Source organism: Homo sapiens, chromosome 18 (genome assembly GCF_000001405.40).
Source record: "Homo sapiens chromosome 18, GRCh38.p14 Primary Assembly".
NCBI classification, from domain to species: Eukaryota; Metazoa; Chordata; class Mammalia; order Primates; family Hominidae; genus Homo; species Homo sapiens.
This window is the reverse complement of record NC_000018.10, coordinates 60,026,327-60,045,052: the sequence shown is the minus strand read 5'-3', so window position 1 is coordinate 60,045,052 and position 18,726 is coordinate 60,026,327. Positions and strand designations below refer to the sequence as shown.

General features: G+C 36.9%; 1 long non-coding RNA gene across 1 annotated transcript; it reads right to left on the bottom strand.

Moving 5' to 3' along the window:
- Window positions 1–592: 592 nt before the first annotated feature.
- On the bottom strand, window positions 593–17,987 carry LOC105372152 (uncharacterized). Its single transcript, XR_935549.2, has 2 exons — window positions 17,870–17,987; window positions 593–750 (listed from the first exon to the last, which is right to left on the bottom strand). It is a non-coding gene; the product is annotated as an uncharacterized LOC105372152 (long non-coding RNA).
- Window positions 17,988–18,726: the final 739 nt, after the last annotated feature.

Genomic DNA, 18,726 nt, shown 5'->3' with positions numbered 1-18,726 from the left:
TGCTTGGGTGTGATGTGAGTTGCAAGGCCCTTATTTGAACTTGATCTCCAATAGTTAATTCTCTCCCTGGGAACCACTGTCAGTGTCTTTGATTGTTCCAGGTTTCCACCCCTACCTGCTGCTGCTCCCCTGTGTCCTGGGCTTCCATCTGGTCCAGGAAGCATGTCCTATCTCCTACTGGGAGCCATCGCTGACACTCAAGTTTCTTGATTATTGTTGGTGCCAAGTTTCATTTACACAGTGCACCGAATGATGAATGTCTTGAGACATTTTAAGAGTTGTTCAACAGCTGTACAGCAGTTCTTAAAAATGTAGGGATAAAACAAAGGAGTACATATTCCCATACCATCCATTTTAACTTCACTCTATCACAAAACTATTGAACATAAAATTCTATAGCAAATAAAATATTCATTTCCTCATTCATAAGCAATTTATATGCTTTTTGAGGAGGGCTGTTTATAGTCACAATGTTTTCAAGGAAACTGCTTATAAAAGGATAACTATTGGAAGGAATGCTAAATGTTAATTTGCACTGAAATACCATAAATTCAATCCATCAGGAGCTTACTGAAACCATGAGTCAGCCAGAACCTATTCTCTCATTTATTGACTCACTCATTTGAAAAATATTTCCTGGCATATGCACAATACCTAATCATCCTTGTAGCATCCTTTGTTATATTTGCATTGACACATCTTTCTACTTTTATCTTTTTCTTCATAATTTTTCTCAGTAGACATGTATTGCTGTCATAAAAAAAGAGAAGAAAAAGACTTTAAAACCAATAATTTCATATGCAAGGATACTTTTCTCAAAATTCCACCACAAACTCAGTCAACATAATAGTGAAATGTAAACAAGGATTTTTTAATTTTAAAATATTTAATTGGCAAATAAAAGTCATATATTCAAGGTGTACAATGTGATTATTTGATATACATATACATAATATACTGATTACGATAGCCAGTTAAGTAAGACACTCATCACCACCGATAGTTGCCATTTGTGTGAGGGTAGAGAGAGGTGAAGATACTTATAATCTGCTCTCTTATCAAATTTCAAGTAAATAATACAGTATTATTAACTATAATCACCACACTGTACATCAGATCTCCAGAACTTATTCACCTTGTAATGTTTATATCCACTGACCAAAATCTCCCATTTTCCTCACCTCCTGGCACCTATTATTCTACTTTCTGCTTCTATGAGTTCAGCCTTTTTAGATTCCAAACATCAGTGAGATCATGTGGTTTTTGTTTTTCTGTACCCGGCTTATTTCATTCAGCATAACGTCCTCCAGATACTTCCATGTTGTTGCAAATGACAGGATTTCCTTCTTTTTACAGCTGAATTATATGTGTGAACGTATATATATACACACACACACACACACACACACACATATATATAAAATATTTTCTTTATCGATTCATCCATCAATGGATACTTAGGTTGTTTCTATATCTTGGTTATTGTGAATTAATGCTGTAATGATCATAGGAGTGCAGATATCTCTTGAAAATACTGCTTTATTTCCTTTCAATATATACCCAGAAGTGGGATTGCTAAATCATATAGTGGTTTTATTTTTAATTTTTGGAGGAACCTCTATACTGTTTACCTTATAGGCTGTACCAATTTACCTTCCCACCAACAATGTACAACAATGTTCCCTCTCCAACGTTTGTTTTCTATTGTCTTTTTTATATAGCCATCGTAACAGGTATGAGTTGATATCTCGTTGTGGTTTTAATTTGCATTTCACTGACGATTAGTGATGTTGAGCAACTTTTCATACACCTGTTGGCTGTGTGCAAGTCTTCTTTGGAAAAATGTCTATTCAGGTTATTTGCTCATTTTTTAATTGGGTTATTTGGGATTTTTTGCTATCAAGTTATATGAATTCCTTATGTATTCTGAATATTAACCCCTTATCAGATACATGGTTTCCAAATAGGCAATTTTTTAAACATTTTGTATGACTTGTATCTTCATTTTTAAAGATTAAATGAACTCTCTTGTATATTCTTTGTCCATTCTTCATATGAAGTCATTAGAATAGATTTCCAGGATTAAAATCACTGGCTTAAAGGATATAAAAAAATTTAAGACTATCTATATTGCTAAAATATGTTGACTTCAATTTATAGAAATATATACTATTATTTCTTTTATAGAAATAATTATAGAAACAATTATAGATAAACAATAATTACAGAAATATATACTATTATGTATATATACTAGAATATATAATTTAAAAATAAACAATTATAGAAATATATACTATTATATTAGTAATTATTACATTAATATACATTTAGTGTCAAGTCTGAGTAAAATGCAATAAATTATTTTTTTAAATCACTCATAATGTCTTTTTTTAATTCACTGGTTTAGAAAATAGTCATTTCATTTCTTATTTTATGAATATTTATAGTTTTTTAATTTTAAGCATTCATAGAGATGGGGATAGAGATGTAGAGGTAGAAATAGTTGTAGTTGAGGATGTAGATATAGAGCTGAAATAGATAGAAATAGAGATATCAATATATTAAAATTTAATGATGTAATCAGGAAATGTCTAAGTCATTGTTTCACCAAAATAAATTCTGTGGAACTCTATTCTGACACATTTTATTAGTGTTATCACGAAAAAGTGGTCATAGAAGTTAGGTAAATTCTGTGTTAAAATATGTTAGATTTGTTTGTCTTAGTATTATCTCACTTAACTAGCAAATGCACAATGTGAATCTTTCAGAAGCCATTATATTACGTAAAATTTTCCAAACTTTCCAGGCCACAAAATCATTTTTCAGATGAATATCAAATAAGAATATTGGTCTCTGGGACACACTTCAGGAAGCATGGCTCTAGGTGTTGTTTCATGTTTATTATTTTGCTGAACACTGAATGAGCATTTTTTATTAGATTAATGTCATTTTTAAGATAATGTTTTTTCTCTTATTTCTCTAATTATTGCTTCTGATTCTCTCATCTGTTCTATTTTTCCTTTTGGGGTACTGATTACAATTTAGATTGAATCCTCTAGGTATGACTTTCCTATCTGTCCTATTTTCTTTCATATTTCTAATTTCATCATCCTTTTCTTTTAAATCCTATTTATGTTTCCATTATAATAAAATTTTCCAAGGCCAGGCACAGAGGCTCATGCCTGTAATCCCAGCATTTTGGGAAGATGAGATGGGCAGATTACTTGAGGTCAGGAGTTCGAGACCAGCCTGGCCAACATGGTGAAACCCCGTCTCTCCTAAAAATACAAAAAATTAGCCGGGTATGGTGGTGTGCACCTGTAATCCCAGCCACTTAGGAGGCTGAGGCAGGAGAATCACTTGAGCCCAGGAGACAGAGCTTGCAGTGAGCTGAGATCACACCACTGCACTCCAGCCTGGGCAACAGAGTGTGACTGTCTAAAAAATAAAAGAATAAAATTTTCCATTCAGCACCTCCATCATGGTTTTCTATCTGGTGATTATGTTCTCATCATCCCACAATATTTCCTGATCTCCAATTCCTAGTCACAGAAGTTAGGATGTTTATTGCACATATGCAAATATTTTTCTAAATACTGATACTTTTAGGTATTTTTCTAAAACTCCCTAATAGTAGCTTATGATCAAACCTGAGAGACCTGTGAGACCTTCTCTTGATCAAACAAGCAATGAAAACATGTGTATTTAGTGCAAACATACCTCATCAATTCAGATTCAGCAGCTCAAGTGAATTGGGGAGGAATCAGAAGCATGAAGAGTTTCAGCAGTAGACTATGATATTTGGTCATTCCTCCAACATGATTGTAGAAACCACAATGCCTAGGACATCGGTCCCCCACATGTGTGCACACATACACACCAAGTCTACAACTACACCCACAAGTATGAAGCCTGGATGTTCTTCACCATAATTTCTTCAGTACATACCCAGAACTATGCCTGACTCATAATAAGTTATTAGTAACCTTTTTGCTGCAAGTGACAATAACCCAACTAGAAAACTAGAAACTAGATTAAGAATAAATGGAAAAGTTTGGCCTAAGAAATTAGAAATTCAGAAGTGCATCTAGTTATAGGCATCACTGGACCCAGAGTCTTAAATAATGTTGTCAGAGTTCAGTGTGTCTCTCCCTGTATTTCTCCAAGTGATAGTTTAAGTCTTAGAAAGAGTTCACATTGGTCAAGTTTAGGGCCTTTATTTACCTCTAAATCAAACTCTGTGGTTAGAGGGATGGAGTAAACTTTTGGAACAGGCTGCTACATGTAACCAGCTTCGTTAATATGGTTGAGGGGGGAAGGGCATCGTGGTGTACTAGCCCATTACCACAAGTGAAGGAGAGACAAAGGAACCGGGGTAATGTTGCTAGTTAAAGGAGGAAAGGATCCTACGATTCGCTACTTCCATAAAAGGAGTGTTCAATCAGTATATACTGAATGGAGGAATAGTTTATCTCACAAATATTACAATTCTTCCTCAGGCTTCATGTTGTATGATTTCTCCTTTCAATCCTGAGCTCAATGACGATTTTTACCAGATCCAGTTGAGAGCAAGTCACATGATGGTTTATCCTGAATCTTCCCTTCTTACTTCCTGGGACAGCTATGAATGAACTTCTCTAAAATTATGCTACTGTGCTGGGCGCGGTGGCTCACACCTGTAATCCCAGCACTTTGGGAGGCCAAGGCAGGTGGATCACTTGAGGCCAGGAGTGCAAGACCAGCCTGGGCAACACAGGAAGACCCCATCTCTACTGATAATACAAAAATTAGCGAGGCATGGTGACGCATGCCTGCAATCCCAGCTACTAGGGAAGCTGAAGCATGAGAATCACTTGAACCTGGGAGGCAGAGGTTGCAGTGAGCCGAGATCTTGCCGCCACTGCACTCCAGCAAGATTTTGTCAAAAAGAAAAAAGAAAATTATGCTACTTTGTATGAAATTCCTCACGAATACTATTGATCACTGCAGATTTTATATTTATGTTTGGCTAATACAATGGTCTTGGTCACTTAAAAGTACTAAGAAATAGTCCCAAACAATATTTAATGGATTTGCTAAGGTTTCTTATTAAATAAAGCCTAGCACAGCAATGTGGACTAGCTTAAGGTCAGTTATAATGTATTCTAATACTTCTTGTACCATACAACTAACATCAAGTAGATGGCTGAGAAAGAGACATGGAATTGTTGTAAAAGAGCTCTTTTCAAACAATCATTTTTGATTTTATAAAGTTTATGTCTGAGATTAGCTTATGCCTCTTAAAAGCAGAAAAGCATAAGGACCAAAGAAAGACAGGAATTGCCTATGACTAGCAAACTATATTCACCGTGTAACCTCAACAATGACATTTTAGTTTATTTATAAAGGCACATCTTGTTGGACCTACCTACATTTGGTTAACTCCTTCCTGTAAAATAAAATGTTTATATACTAGGCTTCAAGCCTACCTATGATTAAAAAAAAAACATTGTGCTAACGTCTAACTTAAAGATAGATAGTTCAACAAAGAAACTATCTTTTCAGAGGAAAGACACAATTCCTAAAATTTCTCTGTGTTATTTGCAGCAATCTTTGGAAGACCTGAGAAATCTTCCTGTGCCTGTAGTTTACTAGAAATCTGAAAAAGATTCCAGTCCATTTTCTTGCTGTTTTGCTAGGAATGGTTAATTTTGTAACTAAAAAGCCACTATGTTTAGACAGTTCTTATCCTAAACCTTTATATTTGTATAGAATTTTGGAGTCTAAGTACTTTCATTTCTATTACATTCATTTCTTTTGAGCTTTGTAACAATATTGTAAATTAAGAAGGATATCAAGGTAGGTTCTTATTTTAATGTACAATATTGCGTATCCATAGTATCTGGAACCTGAAACAATTCTAGATTAAAATGTATCTAGAGTTTATGTCTCTTAAAATCAAAAGAGCATAAAGACAAGAGAGGGAGAATGAATATACCATGTGCACACAGTTGCAATGCAGTATTTTAATGGAGTTGTTAAGCCACTCCATCACCAGCAAGAAGGCAATACTTTGTCAGTCTCTAATGAACTGAGTTGATTTAACCAGCCACTTGCTTGTGGGTAGATTACACCATCACCAAATACCACCACTATGATAAATCCTGCTTCATTTATTGCCATAGCATTTTGTAAAATCAGGAACAACTGTTTGAAAAGAGCTTTTATAGAAATTCTAATGTTTAGATGTTTAAAATATTTAGACTCCCATTATAGAATTGTTTCATATATATTTGTAACTTTAGGGAGTAAAATATGTTATGAGGTACAATTTCAAGACATCTCTCATCCTTACATCATTTCACACACACACACACATTCAAACAACATTTACTAACTTCTGGCTTCTGCTTAGAATGTAAGAAACTAGAAAGAGTGTGCTCCCACTGAAGGAAAAAAAAAAGCTGGATAATTTGCAAAATCACAACTATTTAAAACCCATCAAAGAAAGGAACTCAGGGACAACCAACACATCCAAAAGCTTCAAATAAAAGACAGAATGTGAGCACATGTGTGTCTGAAGAGGTTGGAAACTGGTCGAACTAGTAGGAAGAATTCAGCTAAAATTCTTAATAAATTACTGTAGTCCTGCTGTGGGATAGCAAGAGAGTACAGAACTCCTGAGAATCGCACACAGACACCCCCATCAGAAAGGGGACTGATATGGTTTGGCTCTGTGTCCCCACCCAAATCTCATCTTGAATTGTTCTCCCATAATTCCTACATGTTGTGGGAGGCACCCGGTGGGAGATAATTGAATCATGGGGGTGGTTTCCCCCATACTGCTCTCATGGTAGTGAATACGTCTCACAAGATCTGATGATTTTATAAGGGCTTTCTGCTTTGGCTTCTTTCTCATTCTCTCTTCCCGCTGCCATGTAAGAAGTGCCTTTAGCCTTTCGCATGATGGTGAGGCCTCCCCAGCCACGTGGAACTGTGAGTCCATTAAACCTATTTTTCTTCCCAGTCTCGGGTATGTCTTCATCAGGAGCTTTCTCCAGCATCTCCCCGTGCCCCCAGTCTTTCCTGTGATCACCTAGTGAGGTCTGTGGAGAGGCGTCTGCAAAAGGATCTGAATTTTCCTGTGGCTGTGGCTGTCAGGAGCCCTATTCTCCCCAGTTGTTGGCAGATGGCATGTGCATTCCTTGTTGTTGCTGCTCAGATTTATTCTTAGGTAGACACTGTGCCCCTGAATTTCCTGGACAAGGTCTTCTCGGTGAACTTGCCTCTCACTCAATGATAGAAAGTTTCTAATGGTTTGGGCCCAGGACATATTTCTCTCATCCAGGAGTAGAGGGTACTTTTTTCTTTCCTTCCCCCAGATGCATTGGATCTTCATCTGTGACCTGAAGGTCACAAATGTGCTGCCCTTTCCTCAGCAGATTAAGGACTTTGTTCTACAGAGGAGATAGAGAAGAAGGATCTGGGTGCAGGTCCATGCCTTTCCTCACAGTGGCTGCTCTTGCTGTCCCAAAGCAAAATGGTAATTTTTGCTCCAACGATATTAACAATTACATTAAATATCAATGATCTGGCCAGGTGCCTTGGCTCACACCTGTAATCCCAGAACTTTGGGAGGCTGAGGCGAGTGGATCACTTGAGGTCAGGAGTTCAAGACCAGCCTGGGCAACATGGCGAAGCCCCGTCTCTACTAAAAATACAAAAATTAGCCACGTGTGGTTGGACACATCTGTATTCCCAGCGACTTGGGAGGCTGAAACCAGGAAGCAGAGGTTGCAGTAAGCCGAGATCCTGCCACTGCACTCCAGTCTGGGTGACAGAGCAAGGCTCTGTCTCAAAAAAAAAAAAAAAAAAAAAAAAAAAGATATAAACACACAAAAGACAATAAATGTAATCTTAGATTTTAAAAATCTTAAACTAAATGAGTATAGCAAAGTTCCAGGAAGCAAGATCAATATACAAAAACCATTCTATTTCTATATACTAACAATAAATGATTAGAAATTTAAATTTTAAAATATTATTCCCAAAAATATAATTCAATAAGCTATATATCTTCTGGAAAATCAATCATTTGTAATAGTATCTAAATATATGAAATGCTTAAGAATAAATCTCACAAAAGTTATACAAGACTTATACACTGAAAACTAAAAAGAAATGCTAAGAGAAATTAAAGAAGTCCTGGATAAAGGAAGTGACATGTCATGTTCATGAATTCATGGATTGGAAGACTGAATGTTGTTAAATGTCAGTTCTCTTCAATACTGATTTATACAGTCAATCCAATCTACAAAATATTTTTGTAGAATTTGACAAGATGATTCTAAAATGTATATGAAAGTGCACAGGACATAAAATAGCCAAAACAACTTTTAAAAAGAACAAAGAGAACGCATACTATCTGATTTCAAGAGTAAATATAAAGCTATAATAATCAAGACAGTATGGTATTGGCAAGAAGATAAATCACAATGGAACAGAATACAGTTCAGAGGTAGACATACACATGTATGATTAATTCGTATTTAGCGAAGTGTAAAGGCAATTAGTGGAGAAAGAATAGCCTTTTCCACAAATGGTACAGGAAAAATTGGATATCCATTTAAAAAAAAAATAAACTTTACTCCATACCTTTTACCATATGCAAAAAAAAAAATTAATTCAAAATGAATCATAGACCTTAATGTTAAATCTGAAAGTATTTTAGAAATTGAAAAAAATGTTTGACCTTGGGTGAGGCAAAGATTTTTTTTTTAAATCAGCCAGGATGTGGGTGGGGATCGCCCCTGTCCCCGCCCCGCCCCCAAGGTAAAGATTTCTTACATAAGACTTCTAAAAGCATGATTTCTAAGCAAAAAAAAAAAAAAATAGAAATAAAAAGATAAACGGGATTTTATCAAAATTTAGAACTTTTGCTCTTTCACTCAATGGTAAGTGATTGAAAAAATAAGTCACAGACTGGAACAAAATATTTCCAAATTGCACATCTGAAAAAGGACTTGTATCAAGAATACTCATAAAACTCTTACAATTCAATGTTTAAAAAGTCACATAATCTAACAAAATGTTGTGCTAAATATTTGGACACTTCACCAAAGAATATAACTAAATGACAAATGAGTAATAAATAGATACTCAACATCACTAATGATTAGGGAAATGCAAATTCAAACTACAGTGATATTCATTCCATAACACACCTATTAGAATGACTAGAATTTACAAAACTGACCCTAAGGATGTAAAGCAACTAGAAGTCTCATGCTCTGATGGTGGGAATGCAAATATGATATAACCACTTAAGAAGAGTTGAACAGTTTCTTAAAAAGTTAAATATCAGGGGAGGAGCCAAGATGGCCGAATAGGAACAGCTCCAGTCTACAGCTCCCAGCATGAGCGACGCAGAAGACTGGTGATTTCTGCATTTCCATCTGAGGTACCGGGTTAATCTCACTAGGGAGTGCCAGACAGTGGGTGCAGGTCAGTGGGTGCGCGCACCATGCGCGAGCCGAAGCAGGGCGAGGCATTGCCTTACTTGGGAAGCGCAAGGGGTCAGGGAGTTCCCTTTCTGAGTCAAAGAAAGGGGTGACGGACGGCACCTGGAAAATCGGGTCACTCCCACCCGAATACTGCGCTTTTCCGACAGGCTTAAAAAACGGTGCACCACGAGATTATATCCTGCACCTGGCTCGGAGGGTCCTACGCCCACGGAGTCTCGCTGATTGCTAGCACAGCAGTCTGAGATCAAACTGCAAGGCGGCAGCGAGGCTGGGGGAGGGGCGCCCGCCATTGCCCAGGCTTGATTAGGTAAACAAAGCAGCCAGGAAGCTCGAACTGGGTGGAACCCACCACAGCTCAAGGAGGCCTGCCTGCCTCTGTAGGCTCCACCTCTGGGGGCAGGGCACAGACAAACAAAAAGACAGCAGTAACCTCTGCAGACTTAAATGTCCCTGTCTGACAGCTTTGAAGAGAGCAGTGGTTCTCCCAGCATGCAGCTGGAGATCTGAGAACAGGCAGACTGCCTCCTCAAATGGGTCCCTGACCCCTGACCCCCGAGCAGCCTAACTGGGAGGCACCCCCCACCAGGGGCACACTGACACCTCACACGGCAGGGTACTCCAACAGACCTGCAGCTGAGGGTCCTCTCTGTTAGAAGGAAAACTAACAAACAGAAAGGACATCCACACCAAAAACCCATCTGTACATCACCATCATCAAAGACCAAAAGTAGATAAAACCACAAAGATGGGGAAAAAACAGAACAGAAAAACTGGAAACTCTAAAAAGCAGAGCACCTCTCCTCCTCCAAAGGAACGCAGTTCCTCACCAGCAACGGAACAAAGCTGGATGGAGAATGACTTTGACGAGCTGAGAGAAGAAGGCTTCAGACGATCAAATTACTCTGAGCTACGGGAGGACATTCAAACCAAAGGCAAAGAAGTTGAAAACTTTGAGAAAAATTTAGAAGAATGTATAACTAGAATAACCAATATAGAGAAGTGCTTAAAGGAGCTGATGGAGCTGAAAACCAAGGCTCGAGAACTACGTGAAGAATGCAGAAGCCTCAGGAGCCGATGCGATCAACTGGAAGAAAGGGTATCAACGATGGAAGATGAAATGAATGAAATGAAGCGAGAAGGGAAGTCTAGAGAAAAAAGAATAAAAAGAAATGAGCAAAGCCTTCAAGAAATATGGGACTATGTGAAAAGACCAAATCTACGTCTGATTGGTGTACCTGAAAGTGATGGGGAGAATGGAACCAAGTTGGAAAACACTCTGCAGGATATTATCCAGGAGAACTTCCCCAATCTAGCAAGGCAGGCCAACGTTCAGATTCAGGAAATACAGAGAACGCCACAAAGATACTCCTCGAGAAGAGCAACTCCAAGACACATAATTGTCAGATTCACCAAAGTTGAAATGAAGGAAAAAATGTTAAGGGCAGCCAGAGAGAAAGGTCGGGTTACCCTCAAAGGGAAGCCCATCAGACTAACAGCGGATCTCTCGGCAGAAACCCTACAAGCCAGAAGAGAGTGGGGGCCAATATTCAACATTCTTAAAGAAAAGAATTTTCAACCCAGAATTTCATATCCGGCCAAACTAAGCTTCATAAGTGAAGGAGAAATAAAATCCTTTACAGACAAGCAAATGCTGAGAGATTTTGTCACCACCAGGCCTGCCTTACAAGAGCTCCTGAAGGAAGCACTAAACATGGAAAGGAACAACCGGTACCAGCCACTGCAAAATCATGCCAAAATGTAAAGACCATCGAGACTAGGAAGAAACTGCATCAACTAACGAGCAAAATCACCAGCTAGCATCATAATGACAGGATCAAATTCACACATAACAATATTAACTTTAAATGTAAATGGACTAAATGCTCCAATTAAAAGACACAGACTGGCAAACTGGATAAAGAGTCAAGACCCATCAGTGTGCTGTATTCAGGAAACCCATCTCACATGCAGAGATACACATAGGCTCAAAATAAAAGGATGGAGGAAGATCTACCAAGCCAATGGAAAACAAAAAAAGGCAGGGGTTGCAATCCTAGTCTCTAATAAAACAGACTTTAAACCAACAAAGATCAAAAGAGACAAAGAAGGCCATTACATAATGGTAAAGGGATCAATTCAACAAGAGGAGCTAACTATCCTAAATATTTATGCACCCAATACAGGAGCACCCAGATTCATAAAGCAAGTCCTGAGTGACCTACAAAGAGACTTAGACTCCCACACATTAATAATGGGAGACTTTAACACCCCACTGTCAATATTAGACAGATCAACGAGACAGAAAGTCAACAAGGATACCCAGGAATTGAACTCAGCTCTGCACCAATCAGACCTAATAGACATCTACAGAACTCTCCACCCCAAATCAATAGAATATACATTTTTTTCAGCACCACACCACACCTATTCCAAAATTGACCACATACTTGGAAGTAAAGCTCTCCTCAGCAAATGTAAAAGAACAGAAATTATAACAAACTATCTCTCAGACCACAGTGCAATCAAACTAGAACTCAGGATTAAGAATCTCACTTAAAACCACTCAAATACATGGAAACTGAACAACCTGCTCCTGAATGACTACTGGGTACATAACGAAATGAAGGCAGAAATAAAGATGTTCTTTGAAACCAACGAGAACAAAGACACAACATACCAGAATCTCTGGGACGCATTCAAAGCAGTGTGTAGAGGGAAATTTATAGCACTAAATGCCCACAAGAGAAAGCAGGAAAGATTCAAAATTGACACCCTAACATCACAATTAAAAGAACTAGAAAAGCAAGAGCAAACACATTCAAAAGCTAGCAGAAGGCAAGAAATAACTAAAATCAGAGCAGAACTGAAGGAAATAGAGACACAAAAAACCCTTCAAAAAATTAATGAATCCAGGAGCTGGTTTTTTGAAAGGATCAACAAAATTGATAGACTGCTAGCAAGACTAATAAAGAAAAAAAGAGAGGAGAATCAAATAGACGCAATAAAAAATGATAAAGGGGATATCACCACCGATCCCACAGAAATACAAACTACCATCAGGGAATAATACAAACACCTCTATGCAAATAAACTAGAAAATCTAGATGAAATGGATAAATTCCTGGACACATACACTCTCCCAAGACTAAACCAGGAAGAAGTTGAATCTCTGAATAGACCAATAACAGGATCTGAAATTGTGGCAATAATCAATAGCTTACCAACCAAAAAGAGTCCAGGACCAGATGGATTCACAGCCGAATTCTACCAGAGATACAAGGAGGAACTGGTACCATTCCTTCTGAAACTATTCCAATCAATAGAAAAAGAGGGAATCCTCCCTAACTCATTTTATGAGGCCAGCATCATTCTGATACCAAAGCCAGGCAGAGACACAACAAAAATAGAGAATTTTAGACCAATATCCTTGATGAACATTGATGTAAAAATCCTCAATAAAATACTGGCAAAACGAATCCAGCACCACATCAAAAAGCTTATCCACCATGATCAAGTGGGCTTCATCCCTGGGATGCAAGGCTGGTTCAATATACGCAAATCAATAAATGTAATCCAGCATATAAACAGAGCCAAAGACAAAAACCACATGATTATCTCAATAGATGCAGAAAAAGCCTTTGACAAAATTCAACAACCTTCATGCTAAAAACTCTCAATAAATTAGGTATTGATGGGACGTATCTCAAAATAATAAGAGCTATCTATGACAAACCCACAGCCAATATCATACTGAATGGGCAAAAACTGGAAACATTCCCTTTGAAAACTGGCACAAGACAGGGATGCCCTCTCTCACCACTCCTATTCAACATAGTGTTGGAAGTTCTGGCCAGGGCAATTAGGCAGGAGAAGGAAATAACAGGTATTCAATTAGGAAAAGAGGAAGTCAAATTGTCCCTGTTTGCAGACGACATGATTGTATATCTAGAAAACCCCATTGTCTCAGCCCAAAATCTCCTTAAGCTGATAAGCAACTTCAGCAAAGTCTCAGGATACAAAATCAATGTACAAAAATCACAAGCATTCTTATACACCAACAACAGACAAACAGAGAGCCAAATCATGAGTGAACTCCCATTCACAATTGCTTCAAAGAGAATAAAATACCTAGGAATCCAACTTACAAGGGATGTGAAGGACCTCTTCAAGGAGAACTACAAACCACTGCTCAAAGAAATAAAAGAGGATACAAACAAATGGAAGAACATTCCATGCTCATGGGTAGGAAGAATCAATATCGTGAAAATGGCCATACTGCCCAAGGTAATTTACAGATTCAATGCCATCCCCATCAAGCTACTAATGACTTTCTTCACAGAATTGGAAAAAACTACTTTAAAGTTCATATGGAACCAAAAAAGAGCCCGGATTGCCAAGTCAATCCTAAGCCAAAAGAACAAAGCTGGAGGCATCACACTACCTGACTTCAAACTATACTACAAGGCTACAGTAACCAAAACAGCATGGTACTGGTACCAAAACAGAGATATAGATCAATGGAACAGAACAGAGCCCTCAGAAATAACGCCACATATCTACAACTATCTGATCTTTGACAAACCTGAGAAAAACAAGCAATGGGGAAAGGATTCCCTATTTAATAAATGGTGCTGGGAAAACTGGCTAGACATATGTAGAAAGCTGAAACTGGATCCCTTCCTTACACCTTATACAAAAATCAATTCAAGATGGATTAAAGACTTAAACGTTAGACCTAAAACCATAAAAACCCTAGAAGAAAACCTAGGCATTATCATTCAGGACATAGGCATGGGCAAGGACTTCATGTCTAAAACACCAAAAGCAATGGCAACAAAAGCCAAAATTGACAAATGGGATCTAATTAAACTAAAGAGCTTCTGCACAGCAAAAGAAACTACCATCAGAGTGAACAGGCAACCTATAAAATGGGAGAAAATTTTTGCAACCTACTCATCTGACAAAGGGCTAATATCCAGAATCTACAATGAACTCAAACAAATTTACAAGAAAAAAACAAACAACCCCATCAAAAAGTGGGCAAAGGACATGAACAGATACTTCTCAAAAGAAGACATTTATGCAGCCAAAAAACACATGAAAAAATGCTCATTATCACTGGCCATCAGAGAAATGCAAATCAAAACCACAATGAGATACCATCTCACACCAGTTAGAATGGCAATCATTAAAAAGTCAGGAAACAACAGATGCTGGAGAGGATGTGGAGAAATAGGGACACTTTTACACTGTTGGTGGGACTGTAAACTAGTTCAACCATTGTGGAAGTCAGTGTGGCGATTCCTCAGGGATCTAGAACTGGAAATACCATTTGACCCAGCCATCCCATTACTGGGTATATACCCAAAGGACTATAAATCATGCTGCTATAAAGACACATGCACACGTACGTTTATTGCGGCATTATTCACAATAGCAAAGACTTGGAACCGACCCAAATGTCCAACAATGATAGACTGGATTAAGAAAATGTGGCACATATACACCATGGAATACTAGGCAGCCATAAAAAATGATGAGTTCATGCCCTTTGTAGGGACATGGATGAAATTGGAAATCATCATTCTCAGTAAACTATCACAAGAACAAAAAACCAAACACCGCATATTCTCACTCATAGGTGGGAACTGAACAATGAGATCACATGGACACAGGAAGGGGAATATCACACTCTGGGGACTGTTGTGGGGTGCGGGGAGGCAGGAGGGATAGCATCGGGAGATATACCTAATGCTAGATGACGAGTTAGTGGGTGCAGCGCACCAGCATGGCACATGTATACATATGTAACTAACCTGAACAATGTGCACATGTACCCTAAAACTTAAAGTATAATAAAAAAAAAAATATATAGAGCACAAAGAAAAATAAAGATCGTCTCTGATCTTAAAAAAAAAAAAAAAAAAAAAAAAAGGTTAAATATATACCTACCACATGGCACAACCATTCTGCTCCTAGTATTTGCCAAAAATAAGTTAATAAAAATGTATTCCCGTATGAGTAGTATGCAGATGTTCATAGCAGTATTATTTGTAATAAGCAAAACTGAAATCAATCCAAATGTCTGTCAACAGGTGACTAGATGAACATATTGTGGTATATTCATAAAATGGATGGAGTGTTTTAATTTTTTAACTTTAATTTTTATGAAAGTACATAATAGGTGTATATATTTATTGCATATAATGGATGTTAGTTCATTATTAAATCTTTCTTATGTAACAACAAGATAAAATATTTAAGATGTGAATTTTTCTCTGGTTACTGGTTGTTCGGAATTGGTATGTTGTGATATGGTTATCTCTGTTTCTAATTTCTAAATAATAATTAAAGTTTTCACTTAAACTTTAAAAGTGTTTGTATTATAGTTAAACATTATAACTAATTTTTAGTTATATTTCATTTCATATGGTAAGATAATTATGTCTCTAACTTCAGTTTTTAGATTTATTGAGATTTCTTTGGGTTTCACATACAAATGCTTTTATAAATATTACCTTTGCAATGGAAATAAAGTACAGTTACTTAAAAGGGTAAAAAGTTCAATATTAAATCTGCATTTGATTTATCCTTATTTTCCCCCAAACGTCTTTTGTTTGCAAACCTATAGTAAGATTAAAGGAATACTCCAGGCACTCTTACAGTTCACTTAGATTCACCAACTGTCAGCATTTTGCTACATTTGTAGATAGATAGAGAGATGGAGAAATAACAAGAGAGAGAGAGATACAACTTGTATGTGTTTTCATGGACCTCAATACAGAGATAGATATTATTTATTGTACAAGTACTTAAAAATAAGTTTTAGATGTAAAAATTTCAACATGTATACCCTAGACACAAGGACACTCTCCTACATAAACAGAATTCTATCATCATAATGAAAAAAATTAAGATTGCTTTAACTATGTTATCTAATACACAGCTCATATTCAAATTTCCTCAATTGTCTCAATATTGGCAACTAATAGCTTTATTTCTGCCACATTGATAGAATAAATGAGAGAAATGACATGCAGAAAATGCATTTGATGAAATTTAATATCATTTCATGATTAAAAAATAATTCTCAGCAAATGAACTCTAAAAGGGAACTTCCTTCTGATAAATATTATGTATGAAAAAACCTACTGCTAACATTATACATAATAGAGAAATCACTGAAAGCTTTCTTCCTGAGATCAGAAAAAACATAGATGTTCATCACCTCTATTACACCTAGCCAGTGGAATAAGGCCAAAATAAATACATAAATAGTATAATTATTGGGAAAAAAGTAATCATGTAATTATTCACAGATGACAGGATTGCATACATAGAAAAGCCAAAAGAACTCCAACGATAAGATTTTTTAAAGAATTTAGCAAAGTTGGTGGATGCAAACTCATATGGTATATATGTACATATTACTTTTAAAAATTGAAGAATAAAATAAAAATCAATACCGTACACAACAGCATGCAAAAAACCAGATACACAGGGATAACTTATTGAAAGACGTGCCCTTTGATTTACTGAAAACTAAACTGTTGCTGAGAGAATAACTAAATAAATGAACACACCATGCTCATGAATTGAAGACTCATTTGTAAAGACGTCAATTTTCCCCAAATCTATCGACATATTCAATCTTACCCCATTCATCCAGCAGGTGTTTTGGGGAAATCAATAAGATGATTCTAAATTTTATATGGAAATGAAAAAGACCAAAAAACAAAAAACCTGATCGAATTTTAAGAACAGATTTGAAATTTTTTCACTACCAACAAGATTCATTATGAAATCACAGTATTCAAATAGCATGATGTTGATTCAATGATGAACAAACTGGTGAAACTGTGGTACTTTGTTCCAGCAGCAACTGGAAACAAACACACAGAGACACACAGGGCCAATTGTTGCTTGGTCATGTTAGCCTGCATGCCCAGCCCCACGGGCATATGTGCATTCTACATTCTGTGTCCTGTATCTGCTCAGATACTATCTCTCACAGTGTATTTTGGATATAGTTTCTTCAAATATACCAATCCCTGTACAATTCTGTTCCTATCTGTATTTTGTCTGCTGTTAGTACATTCATTGAGTATTTAATTTTAGCGATCCTATTTTTCATTCCTAGGACTTTATTTTCGAATCCCTTGTTTCTTTTTCATAATCTTTTGTTTTACTTGAAATCTACTTCTCACTGGCAGGCACAGTGAATCACACCGGTAATCCCAGCACTTTGGGAGGCTGAGGCAAGCATAACACTTGAAGTCAGGAGTTCGAGACCAGCCTGGCCAACATGGTGAAACCCCACTCTATTAAAAGTTTAATAATTAACTGGGTGTGGTGGTACATACCTATAATTCCAGCTACTCCGGAGGCTGAGGCAGGAAAATCCCTTGAACCTGGGAGGTGGAGGTTGCAATGAGCTGAGATCATGCCACTGCACTCCAGCCTGGGCAACAGAGTGAGACTCTGTATCAAAAAAAAAAAAAAAAAAAAAAAAAAAAAGGGAAAAAATTGACTTCTCTTTTTCATCATTTTAACCCTTTTTAAAATTTTTAAATTGTTCTAGTATTTCCAATTCCTATGCAATTAACACTCATCTTTGCAACATCATTTGCTTTCCTCACTAGATTTTCTTAATTGACAAATAATAATTGTATAAATTTATGCTCTTCGATGGGATGTTTTGATATATTTATAGTAGAAATATTTTTTATTATTTTTTGAGTTTGTCTTTAGCAGTGACTTATTATTCTATGAGTGTCTCCTGTACCTTGGGTTACAAGAAAATTTTACATTTGCATCTGAGAAAGGGCCAAAGGAACAAATTCCTCATGGCTGACTTGTTTTTCCCATCCAGGCTTCCCAGTACTGTTCAAGGAAAGTGAGTGGAGTTGAAGTTTAAGATTCAGGCATGACACTTGCTCCGAGCTCTTTCACTTCATATGCACCTGCGACCACTATTTGGCCATCACATATACCCAGTCCCCAATCACTGTGGGCTTTCAGTGTCTCCTTGCTATTCTCATTTTTATTTCCAGTTTTGGCGTTAGTCCTGGAAATTACAGTCTTTTGAGCTCATTTTATGTTTATAAGCATTTACAAGATGTCCCATTTGCATAAGCTCAGATTGTTACATTGCTGGAAGGTCAAACATTTGTCCTTTGAAAAGGGGTGTGATAAAATAGTTTACTTTTATCTTATTTAT